The sequence below is a fragment of the Homo sapiens genome, chromosome 8 (assembly GCF_000001405.40).
Source record: "Homo sapiens chromosome 8, GRCh38.p14 Primary Assembly".
Classification (NCBI taxonomy): domain Eukaryota; kingdom Metazoa; phylum Chordata; class Mammalia; order Primates; family Hominidae; genus Homo; species Homo sapiens.
This window is the reverse complement of record NC_000008.11, coordinates 28,855,311-28,869,702: the sequence shown is the minus strand read 5'-3', so window position 1 is coordinate 28,869,702 and position 14,392 is coordinate 28,855,311. Positions and strand designations below refer to the sequence as shown.

The window sequence follows — 14,392 nt, the reverse complement described above, 5'->3', positions numbered from 1 at the left end:
GAGATGGAATCAAGACACAAAGTGGAAGAAAGTGAAAGATTACCAAATAAAACTGAAATGTATTTATAGAACTCTGATTGTTGGAGGGCCTGGCCCAAAATTCCTAGCAGAGGTAATTTGCCTCCAAATTAGGCAAATTTGGCTCAGTGGAAGCCAGCATCTCAGAATGGAGTAATATAAGGTAGGGATGCTCCCAGCCCCTCTGGGAACCTTATATGCCCTGTTAGGCCATGGAGTATCTCCTAGTGAGCTGCATTTACTGATGGCAGCGAATGTTTATACTTGGATGTGTTGGAGAAGAGAAAAGTTTACAAGCTCTGGAAGAACAGGGTTCCTTGTTTCTAAAAGAAACATTTAGGCTGGGCATGGTGGCTCAGACCTGTAATCCCAGCACTTTGGGAGGCCAAGGCTGGCAGATCACTTGCTGGAGCCCAGAAGTTCGACACCAGCCTGGGCAACATGGCAAAACCCCATCTCTATTTTAAACTTTTTGAAAGAAAATAATAAAATATTTTTTTTAAAGGAAGCATTTAGATGATGTTGAAATTAGTTCCAGCTTGTGCATTGTATAGTTTTTTACATTGTCAGAAAGTCAATTTTTTTTTTTTGAGACAGAAGTCTCATTCTGTAGCCCAGGATGGAGTGCAATGGTGTGATCTCTGCTCACTGCAACCTCTGCCTCCTCAAGCTATTCTCCTGCCTCAGCCTCCCAAGTAGCTGGGATTAAAGGTACGTGCCACCACGCCCAGCGAATTTTTCTATTTTTAGTAGAGACGGGGTTTCGCCATGTTGGCCAGGCTGGTCTTGAACTCCTGGCCTGAGGTGATCCGTCTCGGCCTCCCAAAGTGCTGGGATTACAGCCATGAGCCACCGCATCCAGCCCAGAAAGTCAGTTATAAAGAGCACAATGTCACAAACGTGTTGGTGACAGGTTATATAAAAGAGGAGTTTTGACTGACCCAGTGAAATGGTGGAATAATGAGAAACAACATTTTTGTGTTAAAAGAAAGCTTAAAATAATCTAGTTAAATCTCCTCATTTGTCAGATGAAGATATTTGAGACCCATAGAATTTAGGGATTCATTCAGGCTAACATCAATGTATCAGCAAAGTTAGAACTAGTACTTTATGCTGATGTCAAATGAGCTATTGGATGATGTGATGCATGGGTTGGTTAAATAGAAAACGGAAAAAATTGGTGATGTCATTTACAACTTACTTCATTAACACTATTGCCTATTTAAAAAAAAAACAGTTTCTTTATGACTGTGCAGTTCTCTCAAGCGAGAGTAAAGAGCTATTGGCATCAATTCAGCCTAGAAGTTATAGGTTACAGTACAGATAATTAAAGGCAGTTTCAACAGCAGAACTACTTTACAGTAAGAGAATCTTCTCACTGTTTTTGAATGGAAAGGAAAACCAACAAAAGAAAATTACTGCTTATGATGGATTGCAGGGCAATTTAATAATTTAATTTACTTGGGACCTTTATTGCATCAGTCAGCTAACTAATCCTCTTTGTTCAGAACCAGATTATAAACTCATCTGCATTCTTACCAATTCAAAATAAGGTCTTTTAGATTATACCACCTCTGCAAAAAGTAATATGTCTTTAGGTCTCTGACAATGCCTTTCATACTGTGTAACACGGTGTGTATGCTGTGTTGGCTAACTGTACTGATTCCGGAGCTCACTGTCCAGGTTCAAGTCCTGGCACATTTTCTTAGAACTTTGGGATCATGTGAATGTTTTATACTTCCTATGCCTCATTTTTTTCATCTGTAAAATGAGAAAATGATTCCTACCTCATGGCATTCTTGGGAGGATTATAAGAGTTAAAATATAAAGTTCTTACAGAGTACCCGATACCTAATAAACACCATAGCATAATAACTATGCGTATTTTAATTACTTTAAACAAGACTAGAGAAAAGAACATAGATGATGTTTTAGTCTATGGTTCTTTTTGCAAAAAAAAAAAAACAGACTTGTTACCCAAAGTCAGTTCACTAAAATTCAATTTGTCGTATTACCAAATTGCCAAATTTACTAATTTGCCAAATTTTTTTTAGGAAGTTCACAGTATTTCATACTGCTTTTAAAGATTTTTGTGAGATTAAGTAGTTGGCTGGCTGTCATTTTGTTTGTATAGCCTTTTTTTTTTTTTTTTTAATCTCAGCTCACTGCAACCTGTGCCTCCCAGGTTCAAGTGATTCTCCTGTCTCAGCCTCCCAAGTAGCTGGGATTAAGGCTCACGCCACCACACCTGGCTAATTTTTTTTTGTAGACGGAGTCTTACTCTGTCACCTAGGCTGGAGTCCAGTGGCACGATCTGCATTCACTGCAACCTCCGCCTCCTGGGTTCAAGCGATTCTCCTGCCTCAGCTTCCCAAGTAGCTAGGATTACAGGCACATGCCACGACGCCCAGCTAATTTTTTTTCAGTTGAGACAGGGTTTTACCATGTTGGTCAGGCTGGTCTTGAATTCCTGACCTCAAGTGATCCACCCGCCTTGGCCTCCCAAAGTGCTGGGATTACAGGCATGAGCCACTGCTTCTAGCCTAATTTTTTGTATTTTAGTAGAGGTGGGGTTTCACCATGTTGCCCAGGCAGGTCTCCAGCTCCTGAGCTCAGGCAGTCCACCCACCTCGGCCTCTCAAAGTGCTAGGATTACAGGCATGAGCCACCACGCCTGGCTGGAAAGCAGATTTTTTATTTTTCTTTTCTTTTTTGACAGTTTCGCTCTGTCACCCAGGCTGGAGTGCAGTGGTGCGATCTTGGCTCACTGCAAGCTCTGCCTCCCGGGTTCACACCAGTCTCCTGCCTCAGCCTCCTGAGTAGCCAGGACTACAGGCTCCCGCCACCATGCCTGGCTAATTTTTGTATTTTTAGTAGAGATGAGGTTTCACCGTGTTTGCCGGGATGGTCTCGATCTCCTGACCTCATGACCCGCCCGCCTCGGCCTCCCAAAGTGCTGGGATTACAGGCGTGAGCCACCACGCCTGGCCAGCAGATTTTTAAAGTATTAGATTTGCTGAAACCTTAACATAATATGATTTAATCTTGTTAGTAATAAATGTAACATTCAAAATGCGTATTTCAAGATTGATAACCAAGAAACTCCCAAGGACTGTATACAGTACTAGTACTCAGTGAAAAGAGTACTAGGAAAATTTCATTTGTTTGCCCCTGGGGTCTGTAAGGAAGCTCGTCTCTGCAAGGAGCTTGGGCCAGTGCTTTAAGAGTGTTGAGAGTCTGACGCGTATGCTCCCCTTATAGTACAGATATATAAGCTGAGAAATCAACATAAAATGGTCTCAAAATGGTGACATTTATTGCGGACCGGCCCCAACCCATTCCTCATAGAGCTCCCACAGAATTCCCACAAAGCCCTACTAAAAATGAGCTCACCATGCAAATTGTTAAAGGATCTGAAATCCACCATGAGTTAGGATGAGTAGTCATAATAAGACTACCAAGAACTTCAGAAAATCGTGTAACATGGAGACTCTTAATATGTGAAAGTGATTTAAAGGCATGTATGAAGGAATGCAAACCTTTGAAAAGAATAAGATGCTGTTTTCAATAAGGAAAGAGGACTTCTAGATTTGAAAAACATAGTCACTAGGAAGAAAATTTCAGTATTTAACCCATTGGCTAAATAGCAGATTTGACACCACTAAAGAAAGAATTAGCAAAATGTAAGATAAATCTGAAGAAAATACCCAGAATGCACTATACATTGCAAAAAAAAAAATGATAATTTAGTCACAGGGAGGGGGGAGTAAAATGAAACATTACCACATGCATTTAATAGGCATTCCAGAAGTAGAAACTAGAAAAAATGGAGAGAGGCCGTATTCAAAGTGATCATGGCTGACAGTATTTTTCACAGTTGTGAAAGACGAGTTATGTGTTAGAAGCATAAACCAAAAGGAAAGTAAGTTATACCTCATACCCGTGCACATCTTTTTGAAAAATCAGAGCACCAACAACAAAGAGAATATTTTAATAGCAGCTTAAAACACCACCTAGACTGGCAGCAGATTTCTCCCCAGAAATCTTTGTAATTCTGTCAAATTTTGCTTCATGTATTTTGAGGCTACGTTGCTTGTACATAAGTGTCACAGTTATTATATATTACCAGTGAACTGTTTATGATTATGTGATAATCTTTATCTTAAAATCTATTTCCAAGTTTTTAAAAATTTTACTTTTTTTTTTTTTTTTAGAGATGGGGTCTAGCTCTGTTGCCCAGGCTGGAGTGCAGTGGCATGATCACAGCACACTGTAGCCTTCAACTCCTGGGCATGAGCAGTCCTCTTGCCTCAACCTCCCAAGTAGCTGGGCTATTTCTAAATAGGCTTCTAGGTTTATTTATAAATCGTATAGATACATCTACTTTTTTTAATTCAGTGAATCATTGTCTAATGTGTTTTTTTTAAAATAAAATTTTATATCTGCACAGTTAAAAATGAATCAAATAGTTTTACAAACTGTAAAAACTCTCAGTCCCCAGTTCCCAAATTTAAGAGGTAACCTTTTTGACTCTGCTAGTTACCTTTATATTTTTCAATAATATGATTATACTGTTATTTCTTGATTTTCAAGTTTTAGTTATTATGATTTTTTGTTTTTATTTTTTCTTCTGATTCTCTGAGATTTTTTTACTATGAAAACTGACTACAAGTTGAAACTTTGTTTTTTTTTTTTTTTTGAGACGGTGTCTCACTGTGTCTCTGAGGAGGGAGTGCAGTGGTGCAATCTCAGCTCACTGCAACCTCCGCCTCCTGGGTTTAAGCTATTCTCCTGCCTCAGCCTCCCGGGTAGCTGGGATTACAGGTGTGCACCACCATGCTGGGCTAATCACTCAAGTGATCCACGTGCCTCAGCCTCCCAAAATGTTAGGATTACAGGCGTGAGCCACCGCATCTGGCCAAGTTGAAGCTTTGATGTTTTATAACCAAGATATGTACAACAGGATTCCATATCTCATTCTCACGCACATGAAGACAAATGATAAATTTCTTACACTAGATGAAAGGAATTTCAAAGAAAAAAGAAATTAGTATAATAATATAATGCACTGTTCAGTCCCATCATTAAAGCACTGTGTTATGATTTCTCATTGTTGCTGTTTTTCTCAGTGGTATGTAAATAAAAGACAGACATGTTTTAATCATATTTTAGAGTCAATGAATTATTTGACTTTTAAAATACTTATTATTTAACAATATTTTAACCAATTTATTTGCTCACCAATCCTTCTTGTATCTCATTTCTTCTGAGTTCAACTCCCTTCTTCCTGAAATATAATCTTGAATATACCTCCTTCAGTGATGGTGTTGAAATAGTGAATTCTTAGTTACTATTGGTCTGAAAATGTCTTAACTTTACTTCTCAACAATGATGGTGTTGGAATTATGGGCTAGCAAATTACCTTAAAACCCCAAAGATACTACTCCAATTGTCTTCTGGCATCTGTTGTGTGCCACCACACCTGGCTAATTTTTTTTATTTTTTGTACAGACAGGGTCTCACTGTGTTGTCCAGACTCGCCTGGAACTCTTGGCCTTAAGTTATCCTCCTGCCTTGACCTCCCAGTGTGCTGGGATTATAGGCATGAGCCGCCATGCCTGCCCATAATAAAAGCTTTTTAATGAAAATAACAGAATGAGAAATATATACACTAAGTATAACTGATAAAATTTTTATTCAAAAAATATAAATAATGTTTATCTTACCCATATGTAACTTTCAAAACCATTTTCCACTTATTCTATGAAAAAAAGGCACACAGGGAAATACAGATACTATAGTAGTCCCTCCATACCCACAGCAGATAACGTCTAATACAATATAATTGCTGTGCAAGTAGTTGTACATTGCTTTTTGTTTGTTTGTTTTTGTTTTTGTTTTTTGAGACAGAGTTTTGCTCTGTCACCCAGGCTGGTGTGCAGTGGCGTGATCTCAACTCACTGCAACCTCTGCCTCCTGGGCTCAAATGATTCTCCTGCCTCAGCCTTAGCCTCACAAGTAGCTGGGATTACAGGCACTCGCCACCATGCCCAGCTAATTTTTGTATCTTTAGTAGAGACAAGGTTTCACCGTATTGGTCAGGCTGGTCTTGAACTCCTGACCTCAGGTGATCTTCCCGCCTTGGCCTCCCAAAGTGCTGGGATTACAGGAGTGAGCTACCACGCCCAGGCTGCATTTTAAAATTTATATAACTTTTGCTGTATTGTTATATTTTATTACTTGTAGTTTTATCTTTTCAGATATTTTTCCATTTGTAGTTGGTTGAATCCTGGATGCAGAAGCCATGGATATGGAGAGCCAACTGTAGATTGTGATCACAGAAAAACTTGTAGCTTTTTAATTAAGTAGGAATAAAATGAACATGAAAGCATTGCTATGGGCTTGTTAAGCTAGAAAAAAATAAAGATTATTCTGTACTTACTAGTGGATCTATCTTCCTGAAGAGCAGACCAGCAAAATGGGAACTATTTATAAAATTGTTCATTCACTTCACCTAGTCTTAGGGGATACACATGTAAAGATGTTAGTGAATGCCGCTGTAGAATATAAATTACTCCATCCAAACTTAAATGACCTCTTCAGCCCCTTAATGATTTTATAACTGATAGTAACTAAGAGCACTTACTGTGTACCAGGCAGTGTATCCATTCATTTAGTCCTCCCAGCAACTCTGCTACAAGGATAGGTTCTATTACTGCACCTTAACAGTCCAAAGTTAAGTAACTTTCCCAAAATCACACATTAACACTGAGTGCAGCCAAGATTTGAGCCCAGGCAGTCTTAACTTCAAACTCCCTACTTCATATCATTGCACCAAACTGCCTCTCAGAACTAAAGCCACTTATCAAATAGTTAACTTTCCTTGGTTAGGGTCATTTAATTACCTCTACATGGCTACTACTAGGGTGATAGCTGCATTTCAGTACAGATTCTAAATGGTTTTGAATATAATGCTCATGGGTTTGAGCAGTGAAACAGATCTTCTGATATATTACCAATGACATTGTAAATAAGTACAGTCCTTTTTGGAAAGCATTTTGGCAGATTGAAAGAGCCATAAAATACTCATCTTTTTTGACCCAGTTAGTGCTACTTCTGGGAATCATCTTAAAAAAATAGTCCAGTATGGAAAAAGACTTACGCACTAAAGTGATCACCACAGCCATGCTTGTGATAGTAGGGTGACAGGAAACAACCCTCAATGTTCAACAATAAGGGAATGAATGACCAAACAAACCATGGTATATTTACTTAGGCCAATAAAAATTAAGTGTCATGTAACATGAGGAAAACATAGTCATCAAGAGTTGAAGCAGCACACACAGCAGTGTGAATACTAAAATTACAGCTTTTACAAATATGAAAAAAGATGGAATATAAAAATGATAATCAGATTGGTGTGATTGTAGATAATTTTATTTCCATAATTACTTACTGGTTTTGTGCCTTAGTCTCATAACCCTCAGTAGATGATATGCTGCTTGGTGACAGAGGAAGAAAACTGGAATTGCACAAAGAGCATCGCTGGAGGCCACAGGGTCTGGGCCCTTTGCAAGCGCCTCCTGTACAAGTGTGTGAACCTCAGGCAGCCACTCTGTGCTCCCGTGCACTCAGTTGACCCACGGTGAGCAGTGCAGTTTGGGAAGCATGAGTGGGATCTTTGGAGTCAGAGGGACCTCGCTGTGTGTCTTCAGCTCTTCCCAGAAAAGCTTCTGAAACTGGGTAGAGCTCAACCTTCTCATCTATACAAATAAGGCGAATGAGCTCGGTGCCTGGCACCTTTCGTCAGTGCTCTGAAAATGTTTGTTCCATTCGGTGGTAGCCGTTAGCATTCCTCACTTTGGCCTTTGGCCTTTGGCCTTTAAGGACAGTAACAAAAGTAAAGTCTTCCAGCGAACTTTCTTTGCTGAAATCTTTTGAGCATCAGCTTTTAAAAATTTTACATATTCTGTTTTCTGGTGTACCTTATCCTCCATAATTTAGAATTAAGGAGGAAGACAAAAAATATTTTGTCATTCAATGTGGCTGGCTAAATTGTCTGTTTTGTTTTAATCACATTTTTTTTCTGATTATAAAAATGTAGTAAAAGCTCATTGCTGAACTTTTGGAAAATGGAGAAAGCTGAAAGAAGAAAATCGGACAATAATCTTCCCACTCAGAAATAACTGTTACACACATTTCATTTTATTTTCTTCCATGCTTTTCTGAATATCTGATTTTTTCTTATTTTTGAAAGGAGAGATATAGGAAAGCTTTTCCTGGAACATTTGCTATATTTGGAGCAAGTTTAACATGATGCTTTGTGTTCATTTTGAGATAGTTTATCTTTAACAAATAGTTCTTAGATGGGGATAAAGACCAAGTAGCAATAGGGAACCAGATGGAGGGTGGGGACAGGAATATCTCTGTCTTAATTAGGAGGAAAAAATTTTCTGTAATCCTGATACCTATCAAAGAAGGAACTTATGTAAAGTGTAATTACCAAAATCATGGATCCTAGACTTCTTCAGGACAATTGCAGTTTTAAATAATTTGTATTGTTTTTATCGTAAGTGCCTTATATCTTTTCAGATCATGAGTTGTGAATTTTGGTTTGGTAAAATATAATCATCATACATAAACTTGGAATGAAGAAGCAGCTTGCAAAATACAACTTCTTGGCTCTTGGCCTTACCATTTTTAGAACATGCAGTTTTCAAAAAATTATCAGTTCCTGTAACATCCTCTGGAGAAAAGTGGAAAATTCATCCACTACAAAGATAGAACCAACAGAGCAACAAATACCTGGAAAGACTTAGCCTAAGTGACTGAGGCCATATGGGGCTGGGCATTGATGGAGCTTCACTCTCACTCGTGCTGTCTTTGTGCTTAAATCAGGAGAGGGTCGGGCGCCATGGCTCACGCCTATAACCCCAGCACTTTGGGAGGCCAAGGAGGCGGGCGGATCACTTGAGGTTAGGAGTTTGTGACCAGCCTGGCCAACATGGTGAAACCCCATCTCTACTAAAAATACAAAACAACCAGCCAGGCATGGTGGCAGACACCTGTAATCCCAGCTACTTGGGAGGCTGAGGCAGGAGAATCGCTTGAACCAGGGAGGCGGAGGTTGCAGTGAGCTGAGATCACACCACTGCACTCCAGCCTAAGCAACAGAGTGAGACTCCATCTCAAGGGAAAAAAAAAAAAAAGGAGAGAATGGACTTGCTAGTGGATTCAGCACACTGTTCCCTTTGTTTTCTGGGCTCTGTTGCTCAAGGGAGGGCTTTAAAAGTTGGGAAAGGGTCTTCTTCCATTTCTTTTCTTCGGAGCAGCAATAGAATTATTAAAGGTGGCAGAGCATGTCCCATATAGATATTTTCAGTGTGGCAGATCTGTCACTGCCACAACATTGAGGAGAACATGAGAAATGTTTCGGGTCAGTGTGTTGTGTTCACTCTCCTTTGAAGACACCATTGTGGCTTGTGCCCCTTTGACTTCTGAGCTCTGCTGCCATAGGCAAGAGATTCCTACTTGTCTGGAAGTAGGTTCCCACACTCCTGCTTAGTGTCTGCACATCAGGGAAGTCACTTGTCCTTTTGAGTCATTTCTTCTGACAAGACTGAGCATAAACCTTTACTCATGCTTGTTAGTTAACCTTTCTAACCAGTTCCTCTTTGAGGAAGGTCACTTATTTACAAAGGGAGAAAACCATACCTAGAGCACAGTTTGAGTGTCCAGCTTAGAGTTTCATTGACATCCACAGCTTTAGACAGTACTTACATACAAAGGGGAAAATGATAATTCACCAGTGCCTTGTGAGAACGGAATGAATAACCATAGCCTTGAAACCTTCTATTTTGAATAACTGTGGCCCATGTAAAACCGGGCTTGCCTTGGCACCCTGTGAAAAGACAGATGGGTGTGATCTGAGAATTTTGAGTATTTTGAACGGCTAGGGAAAGTAGTCCCCAAGCAGTAAAAGGGCGGAAACCACATAGAAAGTTAGCTGAACTTAACACGCTGGTCTTATGAGAGAAGATCGTCAGAGTTATTTAATTCACTTTACTTTGTAGGATTCTTCTGTAATTGATTACTGATCAAAGTGATTTAATTTTTTTCAGTATTGCCTGTCAGGGCACCCAACCTTACCATGCAATGTGCTCAAATTCAAATCAACCACCATTATGTTGGACTGCGGACTGGACATGACTTCTACCCTCAATTTCCTTCCTTTGCCACTTGTTCAAAGGTATGTGCTGGTGCAGCCAAAGACAAAATGAGCTTTAAGTTTGCTGAAAAATGGTACCATTAGTATGAAGGTTACTAGTACCTAGTATATTGTCGTAAGTTTGCTTTGTTTCCTTAAAAATGTTCTTTATCAAAATAATTTCCTTTGGCTGAGCTGATGGAAAGTGTTCTATTGATTTATTGATTGGCTTCTTTATTATAACTTCTTCTGAGCTTCTGTAAAATGTTCCTGCAACTGCTCAGTACAACTGAGGTCATGTATATTTCATCTTTCTTGCTAATTCACATAAGAGCTGGTAAATGGTCAACTGCTGAGCCCAAGAATTGAATTTTAGAATTATTTAGCAGCCTTTGCAGAGACTTAACAGCATAGAGTCTGACATTTCTTTTTGACAGGCATCTGTGCATTATTTTCATACTAAGTCAACTTTAGATTTAGAACCACATATGTAGCCCAAGTTCATATCTTAAATGAGACAGATTGCCTCAGGCCTACAATAGCACTGTTTATGCTTAAATAAGACTTTGCCTTAGGAAATTGGTTTCCCAGCATACTACTATTTAGAAACAGTTTATAGAAGAAGTGGCTACCTTGTTGAAGCAAATATACTTACAGTAGCAAAAAGTGACACCACATACAAGATAGGATATGGAAAAGCTATCTAAAGCAGATTTAAGAGCTCAAAAGCATAGTAAGCTGGGTAAGCTTTCTAGTTTATCTCAGTCATTCCTGAAGACATCACTGAGTACAATGATTATTCACAGTGATAACCCGATGAACCATCTAGAAAAATTATCATCAGCTATTGATTTTTCTGAGATAAGGGGCACAGTAAGGTGGTGTAAGGATAAAGTCAGAGATAATTCCAGATTACATTTTATGCAAAGCAGATGGAATTCAGTTATAATTACACCCAGCATTTAGAAATACATGTGCCACCCACAGATATTGCCCAAAAACTGGATTGGGAGGAGCTTGTTTACATGACAATTGGTTATTTCCTAATAAAATGGCCTGATATTATTGTCTTTTTCCCCCAGAGAGCAAAATGTTTGTTTGTTTGATGTTTCTTAAAAATCTGCACTGTTCTGGACCAGAGGATTTAGAGATGAACAGAATAACCTACTTTCCCTCATGGAACTTAGTCTATCAGGGAGAAAGACATCACACAGATGAAGATTTAATTACACTTGTGACTAGAAAACAAGTATATATATTTAGGATAATTACTTTAAAAATAAAATCTAAGGTACCATGAGAGATTCCAAAAGGGAGCCCAACCTGCTCTGTGGGGTCATGAATTTCCTGGGTGATGAGAACTGGACGAGGGCAGACAATCCCAGCTGCATGTTTTCCCGTTCCTGTTCACTCTCATCCTTACCCAGTTCTACTGTTCTCATGGTCCTGGCTCAGCACTGGAATTCTCGTTCCCTCTCTTCCCCTTCCCATTCTTTCACTCTCAGAGGGAAGTTCTACTAGGAGAATGGTTAGCTATCCATATGGTTTCTTACAAAAGATGTCTCCTTTTGCTCAGACCAGGACACGGTTGCCTAAAATGGTATTCCTGGCCCTCTCTATCCCCTCAGCTGCTTTGTCTTCGTAGCACTTATTACATTATAAGTACATATTTATTGTCTTTCTTCTCCACTACATGTAAGTTTCATAAAGGCAGGGAATTTGGTTCTCCATTGTATCCCCACTGCCTAGAACTATTCTTGGCATGTGGTAGCTACTCAGTAAGTATTTGTTGTATGAATGAATTGCTTTATCTTCTCTGTATTCCATACTCGTCACTTTTTCAGAGTCCTTTTACTATTATAATTAACTAATTAATTAAATTATTATATCTTTGGTTTGTCTTGGACTTTTCCATCTTGTCATTTAATTATAATCATTCACTTTTAACTTAAAATTTAAAAAACAATTTTTGACCTTCTCTCAATTCGTTTTTCCCCTTCAGCATTTCTAAACCCTGTCCAGTCTTCACTCTGCCCACACCACTCCACTAGAACCTCTTAGGCCCCACATGACTTCCATGTTATTAGATGTGATGGGCATTTGTCAGTCCTCATCTTATTTGACCATTCAGCAGCACTGACCTCCATGATAATGCATTCCTGGTTTTCCTCTTACCTCTGTGACCCTTCTTTCTCTGTATACTTTGGAGATGTGTTTTCCTCTAATTGGCCATCATGTATTGACATCTTCGGTGTTCATTGCTTGGCCCCATCATATTCTCCACTAAGGGCATTTAATAAATGCTCAGCACTATTCATAATAGTAAAGACATGGAAGCAACTTAAGTGCCCCTCAGCAGTGGACTGGATAAAGAAAATGTGGTACATATACACCATGGAATACTACCCAGCCATAAAAAAAGAATGAAATCATGCCCTTTGCAGTGACATGGATGCAACTGGAGGCCATTATTCTTGGTGAATTAACACAAGAATAGAAAACCAAATACCGCATGTTCTCATTTGTAAGTGGGAGCTAAACATTGGGTTCACGTGGACATAAAGATGGCAACAGTAGACACTGGGGACTGCTAGAAGGGCTAGATAAGGAGGGGCCAAGGATTGAAAAACTAACTCTTGGCTACTATGCTCACTACCTGGGTGACAGGATCAGTTGTACCCCAAACCTCAGCATAATGAAATATAACCAGGTAACAAACCTGCACATGTACCCTATGAATCTAAATACAAGTTGAAATAACAAAAAGTAAATTGCTCAGAGCTGCAATAACCGTCCAAACAGCAACTTACAAATGTGTATCTTTAGTTAGTAACTCTTTTCCAAGTTCCAGATTGATGTGTCCAAAATGCCTACCAAAAATTTTAAAATTAGCTAGGCATGGTGGTGTGTGCCTGTAGTCCTAGCTGACTTGGGAGGTTGAGGCAGGAGGATCACTTGAGCCCAGAGAGTCGAGGCTGCAGTGAGCCATGATTGTGCCACCGCACTCCAGCTTGGGTGACAGAGAGAGAGAGAGACCGTGTCTCAAAAAAACAACAACAAAAACAAAATTCAACATGCCCTCAAACCTTTTTTCATGATCAGACTGGGTCCAGAAGAGGAAAATGTATCCTTCCAGATAGGGTTTTCTTCAAGTTCCTATCTTAGTAAATGGTATCCTTTTATAAAAACCAGAAAACTGGGAGTTAACTTTGATTCAGCCCTCTTCCTCCCTGCTCCATATTCAGTCTTTGATTAAGCCTTGACACTTTTACCTTCTAAATAGTTCTAAAATCCAGTCACTTCTCTTCAGTGCTGCTGTAGTCATTCTCGTCTTTTATAGGTATCATTACTAAAGCCTCCTCACCAGTTTCATCAATTCTCATCTTGACCCTGTCTCAATCAAGAGTCATCTTTTTTGTGTGACTTTTTATTTGAAATCCTACAGATTTACAGAAAAGCTGCAAAAATAGTACAAGCAATTCCTAATTGCCTTTACCAATTTATTGGCATTTTAACAAATTTGCTTTATCATTTCCTCTTGGTATGTATACACATAATTTTTTTCTGACCCATTTGAGAGTGAGATGCAGGCATGATCCTCCTCACCCATAAATGCTTAAGTATATTTCCAAAGAGCAAGGACATCCTCTAACATAACCATGGTACAAAAATCAAAATCAGAGAATTTACATTGATAGTATACCAGTGTCTAATCTGTATACCTTATACATATGTCTGCACTTTTACCAAGTCATAATTCACTATGTAACCCGTTATAGCAAAAGAGAAAAATGGTAATTTCTGGTCCAGGATCTCATCCACATCCCATCCACATTGCATTTAGCTGTCATTTCTTCAGACTCCTTTAATCTGGAAGACTTTCCCAGTCCGTCTTTTATGACCTTGAGGTTTTTAAGAGTATGGCCAATTATTTCATATAACGACTTTCAATTTGGGTTTGTCTAATGTTCCCTCATGATTAGGTTGGGGTTACTGTTTTTGGTAGGAATACCATGCCAATGATAGTATCTATTATCAGAAGGCACATGGTTCCATTTTCCCCACAGTCATCTTGTAGAAGCACAAATCAAATTTTATCTTACTTGTTTAAAACCTTTCAGTGGTTTTTCATTGCTCTTAGGATAAACACCACACTCATCTCAGTGT

At 39.1% G+C, this 14,392-nt stretch overlaps 1 protein-coding gene across 15 annotated transcripts in view; it reads left to right on the top strand.

Annotated features, from left to right (window-relative positions):
• The window catches only part of INTS9 (integrator complex subunit 9), a 122,309-nt gene that overhangs the window by 20,267 nt on the left and 87,650 nt on the right, over positions 1–14,392 (top strand). For 13 of the 15 annotated variants that reach the window (XM_047421958.1, XM_047421956.1, NM_001145159.3 and 10 more), the window contains exon 2: positions 10,140–10,267. The exons of 1 other annotated variant lie outside the window; for it this stretch is intronic. In XM_047421958.1, the coding sequence (XP_047277914.1) occupies positions 10,140–10,267 (128 nt within the window). Of the gene's footprint in view, positions 1–7,490; positions 7,664–10,139; positions 10,268–14,392 lie in introns of all 15 variants that reach the window. One more of the 15 variants, XM_011544575.3, reaches the window with a different exon arrangement.